The sequence below is a fragment of the Homo sapiens genome, chromosome 2 (assembly GCF_000001405.40).
Source record: "Homo sapiens chromosome 2, GRCh38.p14 Primary Assembly".
Taxonomy (NCBI): domain Eukaryota; kingdom Metazoa; phylum Chordata; class Mammalia; order Primates; family Hominidae; genus Homo; species Homo sapiens.
The window spans coordinates 45,115,550-45,143,404 of NC_000002.12; the positions used below are offsets into that span (position 1 = coordinate 45,115,550).

The following is a 27,855-nucleotide window of genomic DNA, read 5'->3' on the forward strand; positions in this document are numbered from 1 at the left end:
GAACCTTATGTGTCCAGTTCCCCTTTATATTCTTAGCACTGAGGTGAGTGCTCAGTTTATGTTCAATAAATATCTGCTGAAGGAATGACACTTGGGCTTCCAAGCCAGTTCAGCCCTTCATGAACTCTCCGGGTCTTTTGCTTTTCCTCATCTCTAAACTGAGAGGGCTGCTGCTGTAGTTCATTTATACTGCTGTATTATATTCTACTGCATAGATCTCAGACATATCATGTTGAGTGGGAAAGAAAAGTAAATATTAGATAATGACATGCAATATTAATTACCATCTTTCAAAGCTAAAAAAAAAAGCAAAAGTAAACAATATGCTGTTCAGGGATACATAGTATATCAGTCAGCTATTGCCACAATAATGCTGCCTAACAAATGACTCCAAAACTCAGTGGCTGACAACATTCATGTATTCTTACCCAGGTGTCTGTGGATTGGCTGGGAGTTGGTTAATCCAGGCTGGGCTCAGTTGCACTTAGTTCTAACTTCAGATTGGGTCCAGGTCTTCCCCATAGGTCTCTCATCCTCCTTGGAGCAGCAGGTGACCTGAAGCATGTTTTTCTCATGGCAGAGGCAGAAATACAAGTGGGGAATGTGGAAACAGGTGATTCCTCTTAAGGCCTGGGCTCAGAATTTTCACCGTCACAGCCTGCAACATTCTACTGACCAAAGCAAATCTAACATCTTGGGCAGAGAAATGTATTTCACTTCCAATGGAAGGAACTGCCAAATTATATGTCAAAGGAAGGATATTTAACTCAGAGCAATAATGCAATCTACCATGCTAACATATTTGGCAAAACTATAAAAATCATTGTGGGGGGTGGGGCTATAAACATAAAGTCCCGGACAGTGGTTATTTCTGTTGGGGAAGTAGGAGGGACATCAATTGTAATGGTCTGGTTCTAAGGTTGAGTGGTGGGTTCACAGGTTTTATTATTATGCTTTATAATTTGCATACATATTATCCTGCACATATCAAATGTTACATAATTAAAACAGTACATTTAAATAAATAGGTAAAGGGTGTGATCCAACTATACGAGAGGTTCTTTTCAGTGGTAACATTATATGTTCTACAGTTCTAAGGTAAGCAGGAACTAGGAGCTCACCTCTGGAGATGGAAAGCTCCTGAACGTTCAGCAGGAATCCTGGCCACCCGGCACCCAGGCTCAGACAGAGGCCTTTCTTAGTGTGGGAAGGTGAGAAGATGTATTCCTTGCCTAGAGAGCTATGAGAAGTCTGTAGGAAACAATTCAATTCAGATGTGAGATAGCACAGAGAGCCCTTGTTTCAACTGCTGGCTGACTTGGCTGCATATCCCAGTGGATACTCTGGCCTTGGGAGAGTTAGGTTATCCTCTCAGTCTGTTTCCCTGTTCACGGAGGAGAGGTCGCTATGTCATATCTCGGAGGATGGCTATGAATCTTAGAATGAGGGAGTTTCTATTTGATTTCTGATGTTGAGCACACAGGCCGTGAGGCACAGTGTGTTGCAAAGTTGAATACCTGTGTCTGAATCTGACTGTGCTGCTGGTGAGATGGGGATGGGTCCTCAGGCAGTAAGTTAACTTTTCCAGTTCTCCGTTGCCTTCTGTAATGTAAAGACATATGTTCTGTGGTTGAAATGAATGCTATGTGTTATGTAGCTGACACATAGAGGGGAGGGCTCCATAAATGTTAATCCCTTTCCCCTCCCACTTCCATCCTGTACGCAGCTTCCTTCCATCGATGGCACAAAGATGGTGGGGGAAAGAGGTCGAGTTCATGACCAGGTGTCTTCAGGAGGAGAGACGGCATGGATGTTGAATCCAGGCTCCTTGGTTGAAAGGGTGTCTCAGGTGTGGGTACTGGGAGGGGGTTGGGCCTAGGGAAGGATTATGTTTTCCATTATTCAAACATCTCCAATTTCAGCCTCCAATTTGGGGAAGCAAAATAATTTTGGCCCCCCAAGCAGTATCTGTCTCTGGAACTCATTATCTGCTTTGTTAAGTTCAGAGACATTCTGATAAGGGTAATTGAATTAGGCTTCTCAGGACTCCTACAAGCAGGCTGGCTGCCACAGTAGGGGGTCTTGCTGTCCAGGCTTCTTGACACGCAGGCTCTCCCTCCACTGTTCTGCTTTGGAGTGGGCCCTCCTGGGGGTTGCAGTGCCTTGGGCTTGGCCTTTGAAGATCTTTGCATTGCAGGGAAGCCTCTCTACACTCCAGAGTCTCATCATGCTTCCCAGGGTCCTGCTTTAAATCTCTTCCCAGCCCACTTTGGAGGCCTCTGGAAGTGAGGGGGGCAAGAAGTCTTCCCTTGAGGTGGAGGAATTTCTGGAGGTCAAGGAAATGTCCACCCGGGGACAAAAGAGCAAGAGGTCAAGGTTCAAATGATGTTGACCTAAATTTTTCCCAATTCCAGAAGGTTTTTTTTTGTTGTTTTTTTTTCCCTCAGGGAAACTTGCTTCCACCCTTCTCACAGATTTGGCAGGGCTCTGACACCTGAAATGACAGAAGCCTGGTCATTTGGAGATATTATTATGACAGCAGCCACTCAAGTTTTCAAACATCTGCAATAAGAGTTACATGACCCCTGTCAGAATGTGTGCAGACCAGGCCTCTATTTCTCACACCTTGGCCATGGTCTCTATACTCCCACCCATTCTTCCTCTTCTTGTGACCTGGCACTAAAAAACCTCATCAGGCCTGTTTGCCGCACACCTCTTAGGAGTTGTTTTTATTTCCTCCCATCGAACCAAGGCCTCATGGAAACTTAGCATAAAGGGAATAGTAACTATGCAGTGTGCCCTTCAAGGTCAGAGCAAGACCTTTCAGTTCCATGAATCTGTTAGTCCTGCCTCATTTCTCCAACCTCTGCCCACCAGGCAGCCCTACGTATCCATCCCCTGATGAGCCCACTGAGCTCCCATCAGTATTATAAGCAAAAGTAATGTATTTCAGAGACCACTAGAACAGATCTGGGTTCAAACCCCAACTCTAGAATTTACTACCAGTGTGATGTTTGGTAACCTGAGAGGATTAGCATTACGCAGAGGCTCCCGAACTTCCTCAGTTCATAGTGTCTTTAGCATCTCAGTAATTTTTCACAGTATCTCTAGGCCTTAAGAAAAATGTGTTTCATTTATCAGGAAGTTAGAACCAAACTATGTAATAGGAATTTATGTCCTGACAAAGTAATTACATATAAATTGAAAGAAAAAAGTTAATAGTTTGATTTTATTTTATTTTATTTTATTTTATTTTTTTTTTTTTTTTGAGAAGGAGTCTCACTCTGTCACCCAGGCTGGAGTGCAGTGGTGCGATCTCGGCTCACTGCAACCTCTGCCTCCTGGGTTCAAGTGATTCTCCTGCCTCAACCTCCTGAGTAGCTGGGATTATAGGCATGCGCCACCACACCCGGCTAATTTTGTATTTTTAGTAGAGATGGGGTTTCACCATGTTAGCCAGGCTGGTCTTGAACCCCTGACCTCAAGTGATCTGCCCACCTTGGCCTCCAAAAGTGCTACGATTACAGGTGTGAGCCACCGCGCCTGGCCGATTTTATTCTTAAGTAGTAATGATTGCTTATTAGTGGGATGCAGACACCTATTGGGCACTGTACAACTTCTCAGACCTTGGAATCTGACTGAACATTGCTTCCCTCATCTCCTGTTACATATTGACTTTCATTGCTCCACAAAGATGTGACATCATCAAAAGGAATGCAGTATGATCTAATGTTGAAACTGTGAACTACCTTGAGCTAGTAGTTTGCACAGTGTCTAACAGACATTAAGCATCATGATATTACCCTCAAAAATTTAAAATAATCCACGGTCTCCCTACAAATTTGCTTTGGCATCCAGAGTGGGAACTGTAGCAGTAGTGTTTGAAAAGTACCTAACATATTGTAGACATTTAAAAAATGGCAGCTATTATGACTTCTCTTTGAACTTTTAAAGTCACATTTGGTTGCCCTATGACTAAATTGCCGTGCCACCAGGCTAGACTACAGTCTCCCTGAAGGTTGACTTATCTAGGTATCCCCTATGAATGGAACAGAGTATGTGTTGGGTAAATGTTTCTTTAATGGTGGATGGATGGATGGCTTTTGGACCGCTCATCTCTTGGTTCATCTGTATTTACAAGCATGTGTGTATCTATCCATTATTGCATCTATGCATCCTATAAGCAGCGGAAACTTGACTTCTTTGTCAGCTGGAGCTGCCTCTCAACCCCTGTCCCATTCTAATGGATGGTGTTGACTCCTCTTCCTCTTTCTGTCTACCTCATGTTGCCTTGAAGAACCATCATCCTTTGGGCATCAGCTCTAGGATTATCTTTCATGCCTGTAGCTTGTTTTCTCAAAGTCTCTTCAAATTCTTGTAGGATAGAAGCAGGCCTAACTCGCCCATGAATTCCTGCATTTTCTGGTGTGGAATGTTGCTTACAGGGCTGACTGTGGACTAGGTGCTCAGTAAATACTTGCTACATGAATGACTTGATTTATGTTGTGGTTTTATGCAGAAACCAATGTCAACATTTTGATAAACTTGTCTAGTGACTCATTAATTACAAAATATGCAGCAAGTGAGAAGCCAGTACAGCCTCATGGCTCAGTGAAGGAAAGAAGAGTCAGGACAACTTCAGCAGTCAGCGAGGGCTTCACTGAGGAGGGGGCCACAACTGGATGTTGAATGGTGGGCAGGATTCAGAGGAGCCAAAGGAAGGAGGCAGGCTTTCAGGACTGGGATGATAGGGCACAGCAAGAAAAATGGCCTGGAGGAAGAAATGGGCTGGGTGCATGAGGGCCCAGAGAAGCAAAGGGCTTACTTGTATAGAGAGAGAATGAGATGGAATTCCAAGGAGTAACGTTGGCTAAGAAAATCCTAAGATCTTGAAAGCTAGGAGGAAGTACTTTAAAATGTGAACATTAGCAGTTAACTGGAAGGTATACTACAGAGTTGGCTGCATAACGGTGGTTCCACCATATTGAATCACTTTACCTAGGGAAAGGGGACAAGGGGTGGAGGGAAAATTAAAATAATATGCCCAGTTACAGGAGAAGTCCAAATGAAAACATTTTGCTTGGGTTTAACTGGCCATAGGTCTGATGGTTTTCTATCCACCACACAAGTAAATAGCTCAAGGGCAGGCTGCCCACCAGCATAAGCCTTTGTGTGGAAAATACTGCCAGTGTGGCCATGGAAAATGCCCTCTTGCTGACCATAATTATACAGAATGTGTGCAAATAAAAGCTGAAAGAAAACCCTTTTGCAGAAGCATGGTTTTTTCTGTTCTTATTTTGACAGAGTGGAAGAGAAATTCACAGACCATTTTCTCATTCTCCTAGTTGGGGCAGAATGAGCTCATGCTGCATGGCTGGGCTGGGGGTTGGGTTTCAGTGAGAGGCCTAAAAACTGGTTTCTCCACAGAGGCCTACATTGATGGGTCTTTCAGTCCTGAGATGGCTTGGTGTGGGGATGAGGGTCATTGAGGAGAAGGCCGCAGAGGCCGTTTCTTTGTTTAGCTCTGATTAACCAGAAAGGTTTGATCTTCTTCAGCCAAAGGGAGATGGGAGAAGTTGGGGGTGTTTAAAGCATGTATCTACTTTTTAAGGTGAACTTCAGCAGAAGGTAATTCTTCTGAGTCCCCAACTCTTTCGTGTGGTTCCCATCAGAGACAATTTCTGACTCTGAATAAGCCCAGAGCATGACAAATGTCTCCTAGAGAGAGTCCTCTTTAAGCCACAGGATAACAGATTTTGTTCCTTCAAGTTTTACAACTGCCCTTCCAGAAAACTGCCCGTCCTCTTCTTCTCTTGGATATTTTTAGGAACACTTGAGTGAAAAACACTTGAATGAAGAGTTGGTATTTGCCAGTCTGGCAGTGATGCATGCCTGGATTACCTGGTCCCATCAGGACTGGGCTCCAAAGTGCAAAGAGGCAAAGGATCGACAGCTGCTTTGGTCCAGCTCTGAGCTGCAAGGAGAAGAGAGATACGCTCAGGGTCCCTGCAATTATAGAAGATTTATTGCAGGACACACATGCAGTGGAGCTGGAAATGGTCTAGGAACTAGAAAATTAGAAGAATCCAAGGTAACCCTGGAGACCAGTCCCCTTCCCAACATCTCTTGGTCTGTCTGCCTGTCTGGCTCATTCTCTCTGCTTACTCATGGATTCTTTACTTCACCTTGCCTAGGGCCCATCACGACTGCCAGCTTCCTTCACTTCAGCAACTCTCTGTACAACTTTTGGCCTCTATCTCCAATGTTATCTGGCTATTTCTCAGTTTCTTTCTTTCTTTTTTTTTTTTTAAAGACAGAGTCTTGCTCTGTCACCCAGGCTGGAGTGCAGTGGCACAATCTCGGCTCACTGGAACCTCTGCCTCCCAGGTTCAAGCAATTCTCCTGCCTCAGCCTCCCGAGCAGCTGTGACTATAGGCACGTGCCCAGCCTCAGTTTCTTAAGAGAAATATAAAGGGCTCAACTAGCCTTGATCATTTGGAGGGGGGCAGGGTCTAATGGTCTGGTCAGCTCATGGTTTGGTTGCCCTTGTGTTGAGCACCCACCCAGAGCGCAGTTCATGGAGGGGTGGACAACATAAGGAGCAGAGGTTATGAGTTGGGGTGTGGACAAAGCAAGGACCACTTGCCATATCTATTACAATAATCATTCTGAACAGCACTGATAGGGAAGGCTGTGGTGAGACTACACACATTGTTTTGATCAGTTTAGCTAACATTTATTTCAAATGTAAAAAAAATATTTTTTTGGCCAGGTGTAGTAGCTCACACCTGTAATCCCAGCACTCTGGGAGGCTGAGGCGGGTGGATCACTTGATGTCAGGAGTTCAAGACCCGCCTGGCCAACATGGTGAAACCCTGTCTCTACAAAAATATACAAAAATTAGCCAGGTATGGTGGCACATGCCTGTAGTCCCAGCTACTCAGGAGGCTGAGGCAGGAGAATCGCTGGAACCCAGGACGTGGAGGTTGCAGTGAGCCAAGATCATGCCACTGCACTCCAGCCTGGGTGAAAAAGTGAGACCCTGTCTCAAAGGAAAAAAATTATTTTTATGAGAAGAAAGAACCTGATAATGAATACCAGGGGACTGTGACATAGTCTAAGACACACAGGTATATTTGTACCCAATAATACCCAAATAGCCTGGTAAATAATCTATACTTCTCACTTCAACTCTTTAGTGTCATGTTGGAGAAAAAACCTCATATTCCATCAAAAACAAAGCAAACCTTATTCAACTGGCTGTTCGCATTTTTAAAATGTGTTTTGTGTTTTAAACATATCATCTATTCAAAGGAGATGAGAGGAATTATAATGTTCAGGTTAAAACCCCCATTTCTTTTTAAACTTAACTTCTTGGGAAGACAACCCTACTTTGTCATAAGCAATGCCTCAGGATATGTAAATGCAACCGTGACCTGCCAACATGTATTTAGCATATTCTGGACTCTGTGACAGGTCCCCTTAGTTACAGCAGATGTTGTATTCAGGCATGGCAGAGGGACATGGCAAAGTTTGGGTATAGAATTTAGGATTACATTTTGCTACTAGTAACACATATCCAAATAGCACTAGATAAGACAAAGAAGTTCATTTTTCTCCCGAGTCAAAGTTTACAACAACCCATGGCTTTGCTGTGTTCATTCCAGCCTTGGGAACTCCAATTCTCAGGGGTGGTCCTCCTCCTCCTGTGGTCCAAGACAGAGCTCCACCTGTTGAAACAGCTCTGTTTCAAGCAGTAGGAAGGAGGAAGAGGGAAAGAAGTAGCACAGGGCATGTGCTAGCTTTGTCTTAAGGAAGGTCCTGGCCAAGCAGAACTTTGGGAGGCCGAGGAGAGAGGATAGCTTGGGGCCAGGAGTTTGAGGCCAGCCTGGGCAACATCATGAGACCCTGTGGCTACAAAAAATAAAAAATTAGCTGGGCATGGTGGTGCATGCCTGTAGTCCCAGATACTCGGGAGGCTAAGGCGAGAAGATCACTTGAGCCTAGGAGTTTGAGGATGCAGTGAGCCATGTTTGTGCCACTGCACTGCAGCCTGGGTGACAGAGCAAGACCCTGTCTTAAACAAACAAAACTACAAAAAAGGTCCTTAGACTGTGCTACATGGACTTCTGCTTACACTCCATTGGTCAAAGCTTAGTCATATGCCACACCTAACTACATGAGACAGAAATGTAGTCTTTATTCCAGAAAGCCACTTGCCCGATAAAATAACTATGCGTATGAATCAGGGTTCTCTAGAGAAACAGAATCAATAGTTTGTGCAAGTCTATGGAAAGAGACTTATTATATGGAACTGATTTACATGATTATGGAGGCAAGCAAGTCTAAAATCTGCAGGTGGGCTGGCAGGCTGGAGAATTCTCTCTTGCTCAGGGGAGGCAGGTCTTTTGGTTCTATTCAGGCCTTCAACTGATAGGATGAGGCCCACCCACATTATGGAAGGCAATCTGTTTTATTCAGATTCCGCTGATTTAAATGTTGTTCATCTCATCCAAAAACACCCTCACAGAAGCAGCCAGAATGACATTCGACCAAATATCAGAGCACCCCAAGGCCCAACCAAGTGACACACAAGATTAACCATCACACATACAAGAAAGGAATTAACCTTTACATTATGGAAGAAGTGGAGCCGGATATTGGGGACAATAGCAGACTCTATCACTCTGGGAACCAGCAACCTCTTTTTTTCTTTTTTTTTTTGAGACAGAGTCTCCCTCTGTCACTCAGGCTGGAGTGCAGTGGTGCGGTCTCGGCTCACTGCAACCTCCACCTCCAGGTTCAAGCGGTTCTCCTGCCTCAGCCTCCTAAGTAGCTGGAATTACAGACGCCTGCCACCATGCCGGGCTAATTTTTGTATTTTTAGTAGAGACAGGGTTTCACCACATTGGTCAGGCTGGTCTCGAACTCCTGACCTCGTGATCCACCGGCCTCAGCTTCCCAAAGTGCTGGGATTACAGGCATGTGCCACCACGCCCAGCAAGCAACCTCTTTTATAAGCAAGAATGTAAAATATCTGAGGGCAATGATTGTCGCCATCATAATTGCAATTTTCATGATACTTTGCACAATAATGGTAACCAACAAATATTTGTTGTGTTAATAAAGAACATATTCAGTGTGCAGAGATGATTAAAATGAGCTGGAACCACAGAGGGGAACAAACTCAGCAAACTTTTTCTAAAGGCTCAGAAAGCACATATTTTCAACTTTGTGGGCCATGTGGTCTCTGGCCCAGCTCTCCAACTCTGCACTTGTAGATGAAAGCAGCCACAAGATAATATGTAAATGGATGGATGTGGCCAGATTTGACCCAAGGGCAGCAGTGTGCCAAACCCTGGACAAGACTATCAAACTGGGAAGGATCTAGCATCTCATTTTATAGGAAACCGGAGCAAATTGTCTTGCTCAAGGTTACACCTTGGTCAGTGGCAGCAGAACCAGGACTAGATCATAGGTCTCCTAACTCCTTGTTCAGTACTTAAGACTTATCACTCAAAAATTAATTTTTGAGGGTTAACAATGTGTAATGGACAGCTCTTATTCCTCACTCAATTTCACAGACCTTGGAATAACAGATGTGATGTGTGTGTGTGTGTGTGTGTGTGTGTGTGCACGCACGCTTGTGTATGTGTGTTAACAGCCACGGGGAAGGATCATTGTCCTGCCATGGGCCTGAGAGGGCACAGGTGTTTCATGACAACATCACATCCACCTCCATGGATTCCTTGTCAGAGGAAACAGAGCATAGTATGCCGATCCCACACCTACCACCTCCTGAAGTCATTCATGCCTTAACGAGGGGCATAGACTGAGACCTGGTCTTATCTGTCAGCTGTCAAACTGGACAGGATACCATATGAGAAGAGGATGCCAGGGCAGGTGCATGCTGGGAAAAAGAAAGCCGGGCCCACTTTCCAGAACCTGAGATGCTATCCATATAAAGCAACTTCTGCCACTGTGGCGGCCATCACTACTCTATGGCTGTGCTGTCCAATGTGGTAGTGTGTGTAGCTATTGGGTAGTTGAAATGTGGCTAGTGTGACTGAAGAAGTGAATTTCAAATGTATTTCATGTTAGTTCATTTAAATTTAAATGTAAAAACCTAATACTTGATGAAGTCATTAGAAAACTTTTAAGTCTGTGTGGAACAACTTGCATATGTGAATCTACTTTTTCAATGGGATATTTTATGAAATCTACATATGGATCAAGTTTTTCTGATGCAAATTTAGCATATGAGTAGAGATTTTAAATACACAACAGGATCTCACAGTGTTAATGAAAAATAAACAAATTTAAAATATCTCAATAGTTTTGTATTTTAATTACATGTTGAAATGATAGTTTGTGCCTCAGAAGAAGGAGAAAAAAAAAAAAAAAAAACTGGCTGGGTGCAGTGGCTCATGCCTGTACTCCCAGCACTTTGGGAGGCCAAGGCAGGAGGATTATTTGAGCCCAGGAATTCAAGATGAGCCTGGGCAATATGGCAAGACTCTGTGTCTATTTAAAAACAAAATTGTTAAAAAGGAAATGATACTTTGGATATTTTGTGTTAAATTATATTATTAAAATTAATTTCAACTTTTTAAAAAACTTTTTTGTGGTGTGGCTACTAGAAAATGTAAAATGACATAAGTAACTCGTGTTATATTACTAAGGGACAGTGCTCTCGTGGAGACACTAGCCTCTCATCCTTAGGAATGACCTGGTTTGTTCCTTGGCCCGCAATTTCCCTCTTAGCACCTATAGCAAATTTTGTCTAAACCAGGACTCCACAATATCTCTGCCTGATCTCTAATTGTTTCATAAAATCACCCTTCTCTCCTTCCTTGTTGAAAGTGGAAGGAGGGAAGAGACGTCATCCTCAACAGAGTAGGGTCACACTAAGGAGGTAATTGGAATGATTCTTGAGCTGGGGATCTGAAAACTGGGACTTTGCACCAATTTCATGGCAGTCATGAGACATGCCAGTTAGCACACACGACAGTTAACACATGAGAAAGCTGCTTTACCCCTCTAGATTTCAGATTCTCCATCTACCAAGTGAAAGTAAGATTTCTTGCCCTCTTCTTAGGGCTATTTTAAACATAAGAATTAATATCTGTGGAGAGCTTGAAAAAATGAAAGTGCTATTCTAATGTGAAATAATTTGCATTCACAAAGTGGAGGGATTCTGCTCTTTCCCACCCTCCTTCTCTCCTTCTATCCATTTAGCAAATGCTAAACTTCCTGTGGGCCAGGGCTGCACTTGGCTTCCCTGTGCATCACAGAGCATCTTCCTTACCTGGCCCCATCCTATCCTCTTCCTGCTAGGAGAATCCTGGTTGTCTAAATGGCTCACTCCTCACCTTCTGTAATCACCTCCCATTCGCAAACACAGCTTTGGGGCCAACAGTGGTTTATCCGATTTCATCTTCATCATGAACCCTCCATGAATCTCTGAGGAAGAAATCAGCTCACACGCTGTGTTTCAGGCCCACCATTACTCTCTGCATGATGAAATGTACACAGAGACTCTCAAAATTGGTGTTAAAAGCACATAAACCTCTCGGGTTGTTGAGATTCTTGCCCAAGTAGGGAGAATGTGTAATATCACTAAAAGCAGGTATGATGGATAAAAATGAATGATGGCCCCTTCTAAACGTAAACGGAGCTGCTCATCCTTCAGGGCTGTTTATAAATAGAGGGGAGTCCATTTGTTTGGGATCCCGAGGACAGGCCGGCACTCCATTTAGATAACGACCACATTTCGTGCCCAGCCGCCACTCTCTGGCTTGTAAGGTGGCGATTAATCAAACAGTGTTTTGGTTTCTCCCGATATACATCTAGTCCTTCTGGTTGAGAGTGAGCTGAAGATGGCTTCCACAGTTTACAGAACAGCTGGGGCCTGCACATTAGAAAGTGGCCAGGACGAGGGCCTATCAGGCTGGACATTCCAGTTGGAATTTTTGGTTGGGAGCAGCTGCATGGATGGGAATTCCAGAAGTTTAATCTAGTGTCAGCCTGGCCTTCTGGGACATCACTGACTTGTGCTCAGTCCGAGTGAGGGAATATCCCTTCTCATTAAGATGGAGACCTTGAGGTGAAGGAATACCAGAACTGGAATAATTGGAAGACATACCATTTTTCTGATAATGTCATTTGTCAGACATAGATCAAGGATAACAGAGTCTCTCCCCTGGCCTCCCTGCCTCCATCAGCAGGAGTAAAGAGGGGGTCCCAGTGTTCTGGGTGCTCATGCAACACACTCCCACCCCAACATGCCCAGGCTTATGACCACAGTCTGCCTTGCAGACCATCAAAGCTTATTTCATCAAGCCCCTTACTCTGCTTATGTCCATCACACCAAGAAGCCCAGGGCTCCCAGATCATCCTTTACCCCTTAACTCTCACCTCCAGACAACTCCATGAGGACCCTAGTCTTCATCTCGTGATCCATGGTCCATCTCATGGTCCATCAGAGGTAGAATACTTCCATCCACCGCCTCCCCTGAATGCTCCCTCTGCCTTCTTGCTGTAACCGGATGCCGGCTTTCCAGCAAGGACACTGCTTCCTCTATAGCCCTTCCAAGTGGAGGATGTTTCCTCTCCTCCATCCCTCATGCCACTAAGTCTGAGGCTGGGGTAGGGTCTTCTCTGATACCTCAGTGCTGCTTGGGGACCATAGTCCATCCACCCTCTGCAAAAAGCCTGCTTTGAAGCAAATGCCATCAGCCTACAATCCTGCAATAGCTTCCCTTACAGTTATCTACTGAACCCTGGCTCACTGCACTGCTTTCCACGCTCTTCTGTTATATTTCTTGGTGGCTTCAGTAGTCATGATGACACTGCTTCCAACATTTGGACTTTTCTGTTTCTTGACCCATCTCTCCTCCAATGACCTTGTCCTCCCAGCTATCACAGACACTCATACCTTATAACCATCCATGACCAATGACTGCAACACTCTCACAATGTTAATTTCATCTTCCCACTCTAAAATCACCCCTGCTGTCTTATAGCTCAACCCTCTAGTACCTGGCCCAAACAGTTCTTTGACTCAAGTTGTCATGAACAGTTGTGCATTTTGTGTATTGCACAAAAGTCCTTGGCCAAGGGACAAGTAGGCCCTGAAACCCACCTCAAGTTCTAGGAATGACACTGTGTTCTCTGCCTGGCTCATGGCTTCATCCACCCAAAGGAAGAGGCAGCTTTTTCTTTGCATAACTGCAGGACTGCGTCACCTAGAGGGGAAGCATTTATCTATTTCACTCAAGACACTCTGTGGACTAGTGCCAGCTCTGACTTGGCCCCACTGGGACCTATGATTCATTGCTTTCATTACCATTCCAATCTCCTCATCCCCCTCATGCCCTTTCCTCCTTTTCCAGCTGACATTTAGTGTTCCATGATTAGAATCTCTCCTTTGCATACACTTTCAAACTCCCTGGCTCCTTCCTCCCTTCTTTGGCAAAATTGTTGTTCCTTTTAAAATGTAACATTCTGTCTACTTCATGCCTGCACCCATGCAGTGGAATACAGCTGGAGGAAAACAGACACATTTTACATTCCCATTCACGGCGGCTAACTTTAAGTGGACCCTTACTTCTGCCTGGTAAGCCTCGTCTAGCTACTCTTTTGCTCTCTCAGACACCAATCTGTTGGGATACCCAGTAAGAGCCCACTTCTTATTTATCCGAGAGAATACAAGCAGTCAGAAGAGAACTTCCACATTCTCCCAGCACCATCGTCACCCATGTATCTGCACCTGTACCTCACACGCTGCCTTCCCCCCATTACCGTAGATGAACTGTCCCTGCTCTTATCCAAAACCAACCCCTCCACTTATATATTAGATATCATCCCTTTTTCGTATGCAAGGCCTTTGCTCCACTAATAATCTCTCCTCTCTCCTGCATCATCATCACTTTTTCCTCTCTCTACTGGATCGTTTAGATCAACATATCAACAAGTTGTAATACCTCTTCTATTTTGAAAAATTCTTTCTTGACTCTGTGACCCCTCCAGCTACTACACCACTTATCTGCTCCATTTTATAGCAAATCTCCTCTCAAGAATGGGTTATCCCTGCTGCCTCTTCTCCCATCCCCTCCTGAACTCACTCCAGCCAGGCTATTGTCCTCATCACTCCACCAAAACTTTTCTTGTCCAAGGTTATCAATGAATCTCATGTTGCTAAATCCATTGGTCAATTTTCAGTCCTCATCTTACTTGACCCAGCAGCTTTTGACACAGCTGATCACTCCATCCTTCTTTACTTGGCTTCTAGGACTCCACTTGGTTTCCTTTTACTATGTTGGTCACGCCCTCGCAGACCCTGTGCTGGTTTTTCTATGTCTCCTCAAGCTCTGAGCTGTGACACAACCCTGGAAAGTTCTTGGACCTCTTCTCTATCCACACTCATCCCCTCTCATGGCTTTAATTATCATCTGTATAATGATGACTCCCAGAACTCTAGACTCACATATCCAACTGCAAACACAGTGTCTCCACTTGGATATGAACGGGACTCAAACCTAGTGTGTCCAAAGAAGAGCTCCTGATTCCACCATCCTTGCCAAGCTGCACATCCTCCACCCTTCCCTAACTCAGTCAATGGCAACTCCATCCTTCCAGCATCTAGGCCAAAAGCCCTGGAGTCATCCTTGATCTCTCAATCTCTCTCTGTCTCTTTCTTCACTTATGAATTACCAGCAAAGTCTGTCAGTTCTGCCTTTAAAATTGATCCAGAATCCAACCACTTTATACCATCTCCATTACTACCACCAACATCCAAGTTACCACTATCTCTCATCTTTGTTTCCTGTAGTAGCCTTGACTGGGGACTTCAGCTGGGGCTGTGATCAGAACACTAACATGTAGCCTCTTCACAGTGGCCTGAGCTTTCTCACAACACTGTGGCTGGTCTATGGGCAAGTTTTTTGTTTTTGTTTTTTCTCTCCAAGTCTGGAGTGGAGTGGCATGATCATAGCTCACTGCAACCTCAAACTCCTGTGCTCAAGCGACCCTCCTGGCTCAGCTTCATGAGTAGCTGGGGACTACAGGTGCCTTTTCTGACCTAGAACTACTAAGTGACAGATACTACATTAAGCACTGAGGACATAAAGATGAGTAAAAAATAGTTCTTGGGTTCAAGGAGTTTATAGACTTGAAGGGGAGATGGACAAGGGAACTCCATGTGTTAGAACTTAACATTCTAAATGCTGTTACACAATTAAGCAGACGGTGCCTTGGGAAATGAGGTGAAGGGGGATAAATCAGCGGAGATTTGAATTGGAATTACACTCTGGAGGAGGAGGAAGGGGCTTCTGCATGATGAAAGCTGCACTTATGCTAGGCAAAGAGGTTAAAGAGGAAGCTATGAGGTTAACAATGGACACACCATGGGATGAATCAGAACAAATTCAAATCCTCCCTCTTACACTTCCTATTTAAACATGGGGAAATTATGTAATCTCTCTGATCCTGTGTTCTCATTTATAGATTGAGAATTACTCTTCAGACTTGAGAAAATTATCACAGTGTCTAACACTTCATAGGCATCCAATAAATGATGATTTTATAAAAATTAGTTGATTCAAATTGTCTGACATAGGTTTTTTTTGCAGTTTTTTTCTTTCATGAGCCCTATTCCAATAGGTCCAAACAATCTTCAGAGTTTTCATTTAAGAAATGAAAGAAGAAATTTTGGGGGCAGAGAAACAGAAAGATTACTTTTCTCCAGCTTCATTACTTTTCTTCATCCTCATCATCAGAGCTGCACAGCCTGATTTGCAATATCTTCTTGCCCTTATTTCCAATGCAAAAATTCCTTGCAGCAGGCCTTGTATTTGATTCTGGGGGCTAATCTGGGAATGTTTTCCCGGGATATGGACTGGCAGATGCGGCAATTTCCGGGTCATGTTACCTTCTGTGTTAGCCGGGGCAGATAGGGAGAGGAGAGGAAAAAAAGTGGAAATAAAAGGTTTCTTTTAAATTCAATTTTGAAAGTCTACGCTGTCGAGAATAAAGTACATAACATCTGGTCCCTGCCTTAAGATTCTTACATTAAAGCGGGAGACTGAAACCTAATAATCTTGTGTCCGGAGGTGGTTCCTTCCGGTGGGTTCGTGGTCTGGCTGACTTCAAGAATGCAGCCACGGACCTTTGCGGTGACTGTTACAGCTCTTAAAGATGGCACGGACCCAAAGAGTGAGCAGCAGCAAGATTTATTGTGAAGAGCGAAAGAACACAGCTTCCACAACCTGGCAGGAGACCCGAGCGGGTTACCCCTGAAGGCTGGGGTGGCCCAGCGTTTATTCCCGTATTTGTCCCCGCCCATTTCCTGCCAATTGGTCCATTTTACAGAGCGCTGATTGGTCCATTTCACAGAGTGCTGATTGGTCATTTTATAATCCTCTAGCTAGCTACAGAGCACCATTTGGTGCATTTTTACAGAGCGCTGATTGGTGCATTTTACAAACCTCTAGGCAGCTACAGAGCACAGATTGGTGCATTTCTACAGAGCACTGATTGACGCATTTTACAATCCCTTTGTAAGACAGAAAAGTTCTCTAAGACCCCACTGGACCCAGGAAGTCCAGCTGGCTTCACTTCTCAATCTTAGTTAGAATCATAGGATATAATCAAGTGCTTCAAATGTCAGAATGGAAGATAGAGACACAGAGGCAGGGTGAAGGTGGGAGGCCCCTATCCCCGCTGCAGTGGCAGAGGAGCCCCTAGCCTGTTTTACCAAGTCTGGCACTGCTGGGGCAGATGGTGCCTCTATACAATCACCTACTTTTTTCTCAGCTGTTCATTCCAAGACTGCAACTTTCTAGAAAGGAAGACTCAGCTGGACCCTAAAGCCATTAGGCCAGATCCACCAGAAGGCCTGCCCCACATGCTCTGAGGATTAGCACTGGTCTTATTTAACAATCTAATTAATGTTTTGATAATTTAACAATTTTGTGTGCTTTCTGGAGGGCTTTCGAGAGGAGCGACCTTGGCAGACAAAGCCACATTTTCTTTCGTTCTTAGACAGATGCCTTTTCTGATCCTATTAATGAGAAACACCCTTCCTGTCTGTGCTTGGCCAAGTGAGTAAGAAGAGGCTTTCCTGCAGTTGGGAGGGGGTGGAGGATCCCCAGCAGCTGAGCCAGTGAGGGGTGGGGAGGTGGGGGTGAGCACAGGAGAGCAGCAGCCGTGTCCTTAGCCCCATCACACCAGGGCCATGCAGGTTTCCAGCTGCAGCTCCACCAGGCAGTATGGTGCTGCAAAAGGTGCTTCAGGCGCTGCATGCAGACACCAATTTCCTGAGTTGCCTTGGACTAGGCTCTTCCTTTCCCTGACACTCAATTTCTTCCTATTTCAAATGGTCATGGCAGTCCTTATGTTACCTGCCTTCATGACTGATGAGTCAACCCATTCCTCGGCAGCATACAAGGGATTCCTAAATCACTGGGGAAAGGGAAGGAAGTTAAAATTAGACCTAATTTGAAGATCCCATGTAACCTAAGGACAAGTAATGTAAGAAGCTGCAAAAGCCCCTTTGCATGATGAGGTTAGCTTTCCAGGGAAAGACACAACTACCTTTCTCCTTCCAAATCCAGACCCAGTAGAGTGGCGGTCAGAAGTGCAGGCTCCTAGACTGGGTAAATGGAGTTTGAAGTTTTGCTCCATCACTGCCTGGCTGTGTGCCCCTGGGTGCCAATTAGTTGGCCTCCCTGAGCCTCTTGATCTATAAATGGTTACAATAATAGCAATATCTTCATTCTTTGTAAAGTTACCAAGAGAATTAAATGAGATAAAAAGCAGGCAGTTCCCCTTGGCGTAGTTCAAATAAGTGTGCATTTCAGTTATCATGGTTTAGCTCAATAACCCTGGTCCTCAACAACATACTTTAAATTTCAGTAACCATGTGCATTACCTGTGAGTAAACACATAAGAGTACAAACTTCTCTGCTAGCTCTCCAATCCACAAATCTCTGTGTAGACAACACAGGCATATCATTATCAGTGACCACTTATATCACCTACGGTGCATCTGCTATTCAGTAAATGCACAGACAGCAAAGCATATAGCTGTGTTGCCTCTTGGGTCCCAATAATGAACTCACATGATATTTTGCAGAAAAGGATACTCAAAAGAGAGAATTGGCCAAGAAAGAGGAAAGTGCAGCAAAGAAAAAAAAGTGATAATAATGGAAGTAAAATTTTAATCCAACATCGAAGGAGTTTATAGAATAAATGACCATGGGAATATTGACTTTGCCATTATTTGAAAGACTGTATGCAGCTGAAGAAATTCAGTGAAGGTGAATTTAGTGACATAAATGAGAGTGGTTGTGATGAAAAGGATAATGATGTCTTAGTCCATTTTGTGTTGCTATAATGGAATACCTGAAGCTGGGTAATTTATAAAGAGGTTTGTTTGGCTCATGGTTCTGCAGGCTATACAAGAAGCATGGCTCCAGCATCTGCTTCTGGTAAGGGCCTCTGGCTGCTTCCATTCATGGTGGAAGATGAAGGGAGCCAGATGTGTATGAAGATCAGTTGGCAAGAGAGAGGAAGCAAGAGAGAGAGAGAGAGGGGAAGTGCCAGGCTCTTTTTAACAACCAGCTCTCCTGGGAACTAATGGAGGAAGAACTCACTCATTACCTTGAGGACAGCACCAAGCCATTCATTAGGGACCCACCCCCATGACCCAAACACTTCCCATTAGGCCCCACCTCCCACGTTGGGGATCAAATTTCAACATGAGATGTGGTGGGGTCAAACAAACCAAACTATATCCATGTCCCAGAGGAAGTGAGACCAGCAAAAATCTTCCCATGAAAGGAAACCTCAGAGATTCTTTTCAATATTGAAAGCACAAATAAGAAAATGTTGGAAGCTGATCCAAACTTAGAGAACATAGAACAGTTTGCAAGGCATATAAAAGGGGCTTACTCTGTATCATAAGTTCTACAATGAGAAGCCAGCAAGCACTGTTTACACTTACTAGGTTTTTTTTTTTAAACAAAGAAACAAAACATTTTAATTTTCACGCTTTTAATGTTTTAAATTATAGTGTATTGAGTAAATATTGGTTTTACTATAGTTTTCAATTCACTATACTTTTATAACTGAGGGTAAGAGTGTTTTTAATGTTTGACAAAATTTTTAAAGGTCACAGAACAATTATAATTCTCCCCCATGATTGTTAAGTTTGCCTTGCAGGGTTTCAGCTTATACTTCATTTTTACAGTCCCCTACTTCCGTGCTGTCTGCATCTAAAGTTAGATACTGCTAAACGGTTGCTGCCTTCATGATTATATTGGCTCAGGAAGTCCAGAGAGAGAGCAAGAGAGAGGAAGTGACTGAGAACTGGGAGGTGCCAGGCTTTTCTTAACAACCAGCTCTCACGGGAACTAATTGAGCAAGAAGCACCAAGCCATTCATGAGGGATCTGTTGACTCTTCCATTGCTCTTTCTCCTCAACCATCAGATGAGAACCTGGCTGAAGAAAGTCTGAGACAATAAGAAGTTGTAAACATTGAGAGAAGGGAAGGTCCTGAGCTGGCTGGCCTTACCCAAAGAACATTCTAAACATTCTACCTGGAGCAAATAAATCTGCAAACCACAGGCAACGTGGCTGGTGGAAATTTGCAAATGCTTTCCTAGCATCTTCAAATGCTTGGCATTTGGTGGGATCTTTCAAATCCCACATTGAACTTCACTGACAATAGAAGAGACAGAAAGTTTCTGGGCAGGTTCAAGATCCTAAAACGAACCCCACCCTCACCTTACTCTCAAAAGAAGACGTCTGCAGAGGGTGGTCAAAGGCTTAAAGCACAGACTGGTTCTGAATTTCCAACTGTCTCTCATTTCTCAGGTGAACCAGTCAATCTAAAGCATTTATTTTATGCACAATCTGGGCAAAATGGAGGTGTGTGAGTTAGGGGGAAGCTTCCTAGCTGAATGGTTTATTGTGTTCTGGTTTACTATGTATTATGTTTATTGTGTAGCTTGCAGTATAATTTGAAGTCAGATGATGTGACAGTGGGGCTGCAAATAGCTTAGCAGGCAAGCTCTGCGTCAAACTGCTACCTTGAATCTGAGGGACCCTGGTTACTATCCAGAGTTACTGTCCTCCTCATACCTCAGTTGCCTCATTTGTAAAATAAAGATAATAATATCTACTTACACAGTTGTGAGGGTCCACAAGTCATAAGCTATATAAAGCCCTTTGCAAGTCTCTGGCATATAGTGACTGCTCTATAAATGATTGTTATTAGAAAACAATTAGTGGGGGGAGGAGGGGAAGTATTCACATTCATGCAGAAAGTTCCAGAGAATCAGATTTTCACCACCCTCTAAATAAATGAATTCAATCATAAATTGTGCGGTACAGAGAATTTGTGTTGGTTGCCAGTATAAAGAATTGAACATCAAAGCCATTATTGGTCAGCAGACCTCTATGCCCAGTGGACACTTTACAGGACCACCTATCTGTGGGCTCCCACTTCCTCCTCACCAGAATTAATTGTTCTCATCTTAATGAGACACCAGTGAGTTAATTATTTGTAATAACAAGGAGCTTCCCTTCATCTCTCTTCGCCAACAGGGGGTACATTGGTGGCTATTTTATTTATAGGGATGGGGGCATTCAGATCCTCTCCCAACCCTCCTCACCCTTCCTTCTTTTTTTTTTTTTAATCAGGAAAGTGCTTTTGTGAGAGGGCTGGCTAGGGTTAACGGATGATCTGTTGGGGGAGATGGAGAGCATGACCTTGTCTGTGAAGTTCTGACTGCTCCAGCCCACACAGAGCCCTTCCTTCCCTGGTTTCTTGACCACCTACCACTAGCCCTTGCTGGCACTCAGCATGTAACACGACTCTGTCTACCAACCCTTGTCCACATAGGCAGATGTTCCCTTCCGTGAGGGTACAGCACCATCCTTTCCTGTCTTACTGCTCACACAGTGGGTTCCCCATAGCTGTAAGCAGAAAGAACCTGCTGGATGATTGAGAGGAGGGACCTCTTAGGGAGGTGGGATTGAAGCTCTGGGGCTGGGAATAGCCCAGAGGTGAGGGTGCAGCTTGCATACCCAGAGCCTGCACCTAACTCATCTTTATCCCTGTAACTGGCAGTCTGGACAGAATTTGCCACTTCCCATAGGGTCTGCCTGGAGATGTGTCTTGGGTGACTTCATGGTTCTATGAAAATGAGAGTTGGAAATGGCGGGGGGGTGTGCTTTTTTGAGACAATGGGAGGAAAGAGCCTAACCTCTTTTTTTTTTGAAGTTTTATTTTAAGTTCAGGAGTACATGTGCAGGATATGCAGGTTTGTTACATAGGCAAACATGTGTCATGGGAGTTTGTTATACAGATTATTTCATCACCCAGGTATTAAGCCTAGTACCCCTTCACTATTTTTTCCTGATCCTCTCCCTCCTCCCACCTTCCTCCCTCTGATAGGCCCCAGTGTGTGTTGTTTCCCTCTACATGTCCATGTGTTCTCATCATTTAGCTCCCACTTATAAGTGAGAACATGTGGTGTTTGGTTTTCTGTTCCTGCATTGGTTTGCTGAGAATAATGGCCTCCAGCTCCATCCATGTTCTTGCAAAGCACATGATCTCATTCCTTTCAATGGCTGCATAGAATTCCATAGTGTATATGTATCACATTTTCTTTGTCCAGTCTATCATTGATGGACATTTAGGTTGATTCCATGTCTTGCTATTGTGAATAGTCCTGTAATGAACATACACATGCATGTGTCTTTACAATAAAATGATTTATATTCCCTTGGGTATATACCCAATAATGGGATTGCTGGGTCGAATGGTATTTCTGTCTTTAGGTCTTTGAGGAGTCGCCACACTGTCTTCCACAATAGTTGAACTAATTTACATTCCCACCAACAATGTATAAGCATTCCTTTTTCTCCACAACCTTGCCAGTATCCGTTAGTTATTGACTTTTTAAATAGTAGCCATTCTAAGTGGTATGATATGGTATCTCATTGTGGTTTTGATTTCCATTTCTCTAATGATCAGTGATGTTGAGCTTTCTTTCATATGATTGTTGGTCACATGTATGTCTTCTGTTGAGAAGTGTCTGTTTGTGTTTTTTGCCCACTTTTGAATGGGGTTGTTTGTTTTTTCTTGTAAATTTCTTTAAGTTACTTATAGAGGCTGGATATTAGACCTTTGTCAGATGCATCGTTTGCAAAAATTTTCTCCCATTCTGTAGATTGTCTGTTTACTCTGATGATAGTTTCTTTTGCTGTGCAGATGCTCTTTACTTTAATTAGATCCCATTTGTCAGTTTTTGCTTTTGTTGCAATTGCTTTACATGTCTTTGTCATGAAATCTTTGCCCATGCCTATGTCCTAAATGGTATTGCCTAGGTTGTCTTCCGGGGTTTTAATAATTTTGCATTTTACATTTAAGTCTTTAATCCATCTTGTGTTAACTGGCATAAGGAAGGGATCCATTCCCAATTTTCTGCATATGAGCCCAACCTCTTTAAGGACTAACCACACAGCAAATCAGGCCAGCTGCATAATCTGTGGCACCTGGTGCAAAATGAAACTGTGAAGCTCCTTGACCAAAAATTGTTCAGAATTTTAAGATGATGACTGTAGAGCATTAAGCCAAGTGCAGGCCCATCTGAGGGCGGGGCCTTGTACTGCCCAGGCTTCATGTCCATGAAGCTGGCCCTGCAACAAATCCAGGAGCTCCTCCTAGCTTGGGCATGGCACATCAACTCACCACTCATACATCTGAACTCCTCAGTGCACCTGGGACTCAGGGACAGAGGAGGAAGGGAGGCATCAGGCTAACAGCAGCGTGGGAAGAAGGCTTGCTGGCAGGACCTGTGTCTGTGCCCTCAGGGGAAGCCCACCACCCCCGGCTGGAAATGTTCAACACAGTCTGTGTTTATCCCACCCCATTGTCGTGATGCGTGACTAAGACCTGCCTGCAACTCTACACTGGGTGTGCGCAGGAGGAATCAACCTCGCCATGACAATATTTACTTCACTGTTGCCCCGGGGAACTCTACATTCTGAGAATGGCAGGGCTTTTTTTTTTTTCTCAATCTTTACCCTCAGGGGCAGCTTCTTTGCCCCCTGAGAGTGTTCTGGTTTGAAACAAGAATGGGGTGCACCCCAATGGGAGAACGAACACCCAGGGAAACCCAAGACCTTCAAACTTTTACTGTGTCCAAGAACGGGGAGGGGAAGAGGATACTTATGCTCAGTTCCATTTGCCCAACAGCATTGAGCTCGTGAGTGTTTTGTGTGTCTCCTCTGAGCTCTTTGAGATGAGAGCAGGGTCCACACCTTGCCTTTCATCTCTGCCCCTCAGCCTCTGGGCCATATGAAGGTGCTCAGTTTACAGAACAGAAGAGGAAGGGAGGAACGGAGGCCAAGAGGTCACTCTCTTATGCTAAGTACTTTGGGCCTTACGAGCTGGGCTAGAGGGTGGTGAGTGACCAGGGCCTGGGAAAATCTGCTCTTCCTGAGACCCATTCATCCTTAGCTCCTCAAGGCAGACCCTGCTGGCTGGAATTCAGGTGTCGACTTTTGCCAAATACTTTAAGAGGAATAAACATTTAACAGCTTTGTGAAGTTCCCCACAGAGGCACCAAGGTTTTCCTAAGGATTTAGTCTGTCGTGAGTGCATAACACCTAAGAAAACTCTGCTTTTGAGGGTGATGTCCCAGAAAAGCCAGATAAGACAGGGAGATGAGCCTCCTGTTTGCGGGTGCCTGGAAACATAATGTCCTTTTGCTGTATGTAGATACTTCTATTCCCTTCTCATTCTATTCCCTTCCATTCCCTTTGTGGCAATACATTTCCTGAAGTGATTTCTGTGTGTCAAACCCATCAACCTACATTACTGGAATTATTGTACAGGTGTTACTTTGATAACATAAACTGATATATCTAACTTACATAAAGGAGGCATAACAAAGAAAGTAATTTGTTATAAATTGAAATACTACTTTATTCTATGTAATACATATGTGATACATTGTTATACATGTCATGTGTTAAATGTCAATGTTGTATATCTTATATATTAATATTTCACATATATACCACATATATTTCACATGTGTACCATATATGTGAAATATATTAATAGATATGATAGTATTTCATTGATTTAAGTTACTTAGAGATAACTTAGATTTCCTTTTTCCAGAGTTTCAAATACCTTCTGTCCTGATCAGTGCCTTGATGTCACAGGCACCCACTGAAGAAGAGAGGTTTCGTTTTTCAGCTGGTGGCTTTATCAGATCACTAACCATTCTATCCCATTTTAATGTGACACAATTACATAACAGCATATGTCAACAAATTATCATTTGCTCTTTATCTTTGCTAATAGCTTACCAGTACTCATTTCATCTGTAAGGAAGATTAGCTGCAAAGTACTTCATGTCTTTACGGACGGGGCAGGTAATGGAACACATATGCACAGCAGCCAGTGTCTCAGGGGTGACCACGACAATCGCAGCCGTCTCCATGGTTTTAGCCAATTTACGGAACTGAGTAGTAAACAGAACTTGCTACAGGACCAACTTGATACTCTACTACTTTCTTTTTTTTTTTTTTTTTTTTTGAGACAGGGTCTAACTCTGTCACCCAGGCTGGAGTGCAGTGGCACAATCTTGGTTCACTGCAACCTCCGCCTCCCAGGTTCAAGTAATCCTCCCACCTCAGCCTCCTGAGTAGCTGGGACTACAGACGCCACCACCATGCCCGGCTAATTTTTGTATTTTTAGTAAAGATAGGGTTTTGCCATGTTGGCCAGGCTGTTCTCGAACTCCTGACCTCAAGTGATCCTCCCACCTCGGCCTCCCAGAATGCTGGGATTACAGGCATGAGCCACTGTGCACCACGCCCGGCCAATTCTCTACTACTTTCTTCATGACTTAAAGTTTTCAGGCTTGGAGGGGTTGGGGGATTTTCTTCAAACAAGGCACTCAGTATCCATAATTGCCAACCTATACCCCACCTCCACCCACCCCACTACTTCTGAACTTTGTTTTCTCCACTGTTAACACTCATCTCAAATTAGAGATATCCTCTACATACAGAAAAAGGAGCAGACTTTTGGTGGCCTCTCCAGTATCACCCCCTCCATTGCTTCTTGGTGAATAGTGCCTACCTCCCATCATGAAGGTTCCATGCAGCAGTCTGGGCTTGGACATGTGACCCAGTCCTGGTCAATGGGACCTGGGGGGAAGTAGTCTTGGGGCTTCTGGGAAAGATTTCCCTCTTTGAAAGAACAGCAAGGGGAAACGGCAATTCCTGCACTTGGGTGTGGAGCATGGTGACTAAGAAAATGCACACACTGAGGATGATGGAGCAGGGAAATGGCAAGAGCCTGGGTCTTTAATGTTGTACCAAGTCTCTGCAGTGCCCACTCCTGCTCTTGCCCTGCCCCTCCGCTTCTTGTCACGTGAGCTCCTAAATGCCCATGTTGTTCAAGATGCTTTTGGCTTTGCTTTTTGTTTTTTTTGTTTGTTTGGCTGTGTTTGAGATGGAGTCTCAGTCTGTCATGCAGGTTGGAGTGCAGTGGCGTAATCTTGGCTCACTGCAACCTCCGCCTCCTAGGTTCAAGTGATTCTTGTGCCTCAGCCTCCTGAGTAGCTGGGATTACAGGCACGTGCCACCATGCCCGGCTAATTTTTGTATTTTTAGTAGAGATGGGGTTTCGCCATGTTGCCCACGCTGGTCTCAAACTCCTGACCTCAGGTGATCCACCCGCCTCGGCCTCACAAAGTGCTGGGATTACAGGCGTAGCCACCGCACCTGGCCTTGCATTTTGTTTTGAGAGCATCCCTCCCAACGAAGAGCATCCATTAATTAACAACATACAGAGTAGATGAAGGACCTTGTATAGGGTACTAACAGGGGGGATTAAAAGGAAACCGAAAACATTTATCTCTTTCAATGAGATCATAATCTATTGAGATAAATAAAATATACTACAAGTGCAACATGAGAATGACTGCCCAGTGTCACATGTTCATGTGCAAAGTGCCACAGTGTAGGCTAAATAGCAATGGCAAAAATATTTGCAGTATTGACTTAGGTTATCTGTTTTCATCAGAATGTTTTCACACTATCAACACTATTAAGAGAGCACCAAAGAAAAATATAAAATGCACTCCCTTTTCTTGCGCGAATCTGCTTGAAAGTTGACATTGCTATCTTTTAAATCACCTACTCTGATATTGTTTCAGGAAGTGCTGGGACATAAAATAGTTCTCAGAAATAGAAATTCACCCATAAAGCCTGCTGAACACGTACACTGTTTCTGATGTCAAATTTGCAAGCACTTTCTCTATTTAAGAATTTATTGCCATCAGATTCATGATCTCCACCTGATATGTAGGGAGCACATCATAGGCACCTTCATGGTTTTTTAAACTTGATCTGTGGCTGAGTGGTTATTCAGTGTTAGCACAAATGCAAATTTGATGGTCAAAACTAATAATTTCATAGATTTCTGTTTTCTTGGAGGCCACTTCTATTAGGTGTTCGTGGAAATGGTGACAGAGTATAGGTTCAGGTTTGTGTTACACAGCAGCAATTATGGTGACAGCTTTGGCTCAAACTTTCAAAGTTTGGTGAAATAAGCCTCATTTGGCCTTACTATCTTCCCAGAAATACCATGAAATAGTACTATGACCTAAATTCCCCTAGAGGAGTTGCAAGGAGACTGGCTGCTGGAGGGCAGCTCTACACCAAAGAGCATCAGGACTTGACCGGACCCCTGTCTGGTGGAGGAGGAAGTGAGAATAACAGGAGGTGTTTTATAGATGCTGGTATTTACACTGTGGGCACACAGCCTAGAAGGGGACTCAACTGTAGAACACAAGACCTACATGAACTCCAGAACCTTCCACCGATCCCTTCTGCTGCCTCAATTTCAAGTCCCTCACCCCAGCTTTCTGTCTGCCCCACCTTTAATCCCATTTATCTCTCTCACTCATCCTCTGGAGGGGGCATGTTCATTCCTGCTTACCTGCCTGTGCTCATGGGATGCCCCCTGTCTGGAATGTCCTCCCTCATCCCATTTTCCTTCTTTTATTTATTTATTTATTTATTTATTTATTTATTTATTTTTTCAGACAGGATCTCACTATGTCGCCCAGGCTGGAGTGTAGTGATGCAAATACGGCTCACTGCAGCCTCAATCTCCTAGGCTCAAGCAATCCTCCCATCTCAGCCTTCTGAGTAGTCATGACTACAGGCATGCACCACCATACCCAGGTAATCTGTTGATTTTTTGTAGAGATGAGGTCTCACTGTGTTGCCCAGGCTGGCCTTGAACTCCTGACCTCAAGCAATCCTCCTGCCTCCCAAAGTGTTGGGATTACAGGGGTGAGCCACCATACCTGGCCCCATTTTCCTTTTGCATCTCTACTCTTTGCTTTTTCTTCACTGCCTAGTTGAAGCCCTGTCACTTACAGACTATCCTGGCTCTCATTGAACTCTCTCTTCTCATAATAATAGTAATTATCATGTATTGAGCATGAAGGATATGCCTGGCAATTTACACACACGATTGATTGATCATCCTTGCAGTGCCCTTTGCAGGTAAGTAATCTGAAGAAGTTAATGTCCTGAGAAGTTTTACCTGACTTGCAAGAAACCATGCAGGTCAAAAGTGGCTGAGCCCAGATTCCCAGCAGGTCTCTCTGGCTCCAGCTGTTCCCATTCCTCTATCCTGCCTCACTGCACAAGCTTCAGGGCTAATATGCAAACAGCTTTGCCTGCGTGGAGAGAGAAGAAATAGAAGTTTAGCCTCACAGAGTGCTAAATCCTCCTAAGTCATAGGC

The 27,855-nt window shown here is 44.1% G+C and overlaps 1 long non-coding RNA gene across 2 annotated transcripts; it reads right to left on the minus strand.

The window, feature by feature from the left end:
- Positions 1-920: 920 nt before the first annotated feature.
- On the minus strand, positions 921-27,781 carry LOC107985809 (uncharacterized). Of its 2 annotated transcripts, none has more exons than XR_001739190.2 (3): positions 27,654-27,781; positions 5,902-5,974; positions 921-2,494 (listed from the first exon to the last, which is right to left on the minus strand). It is a non-coding gene; the product is annotated as an uncharacterized LOC107985809 (long non-coding RNA). The 2 variants fall into 2 exon arrangements; XR_001739189.2 differs by lacking the exon at positions 27,654-27,781 and adding an exon at positions 24,395-24,553.
- Positions 27,782-27,855: the final 74 nt, after the last annotated feature.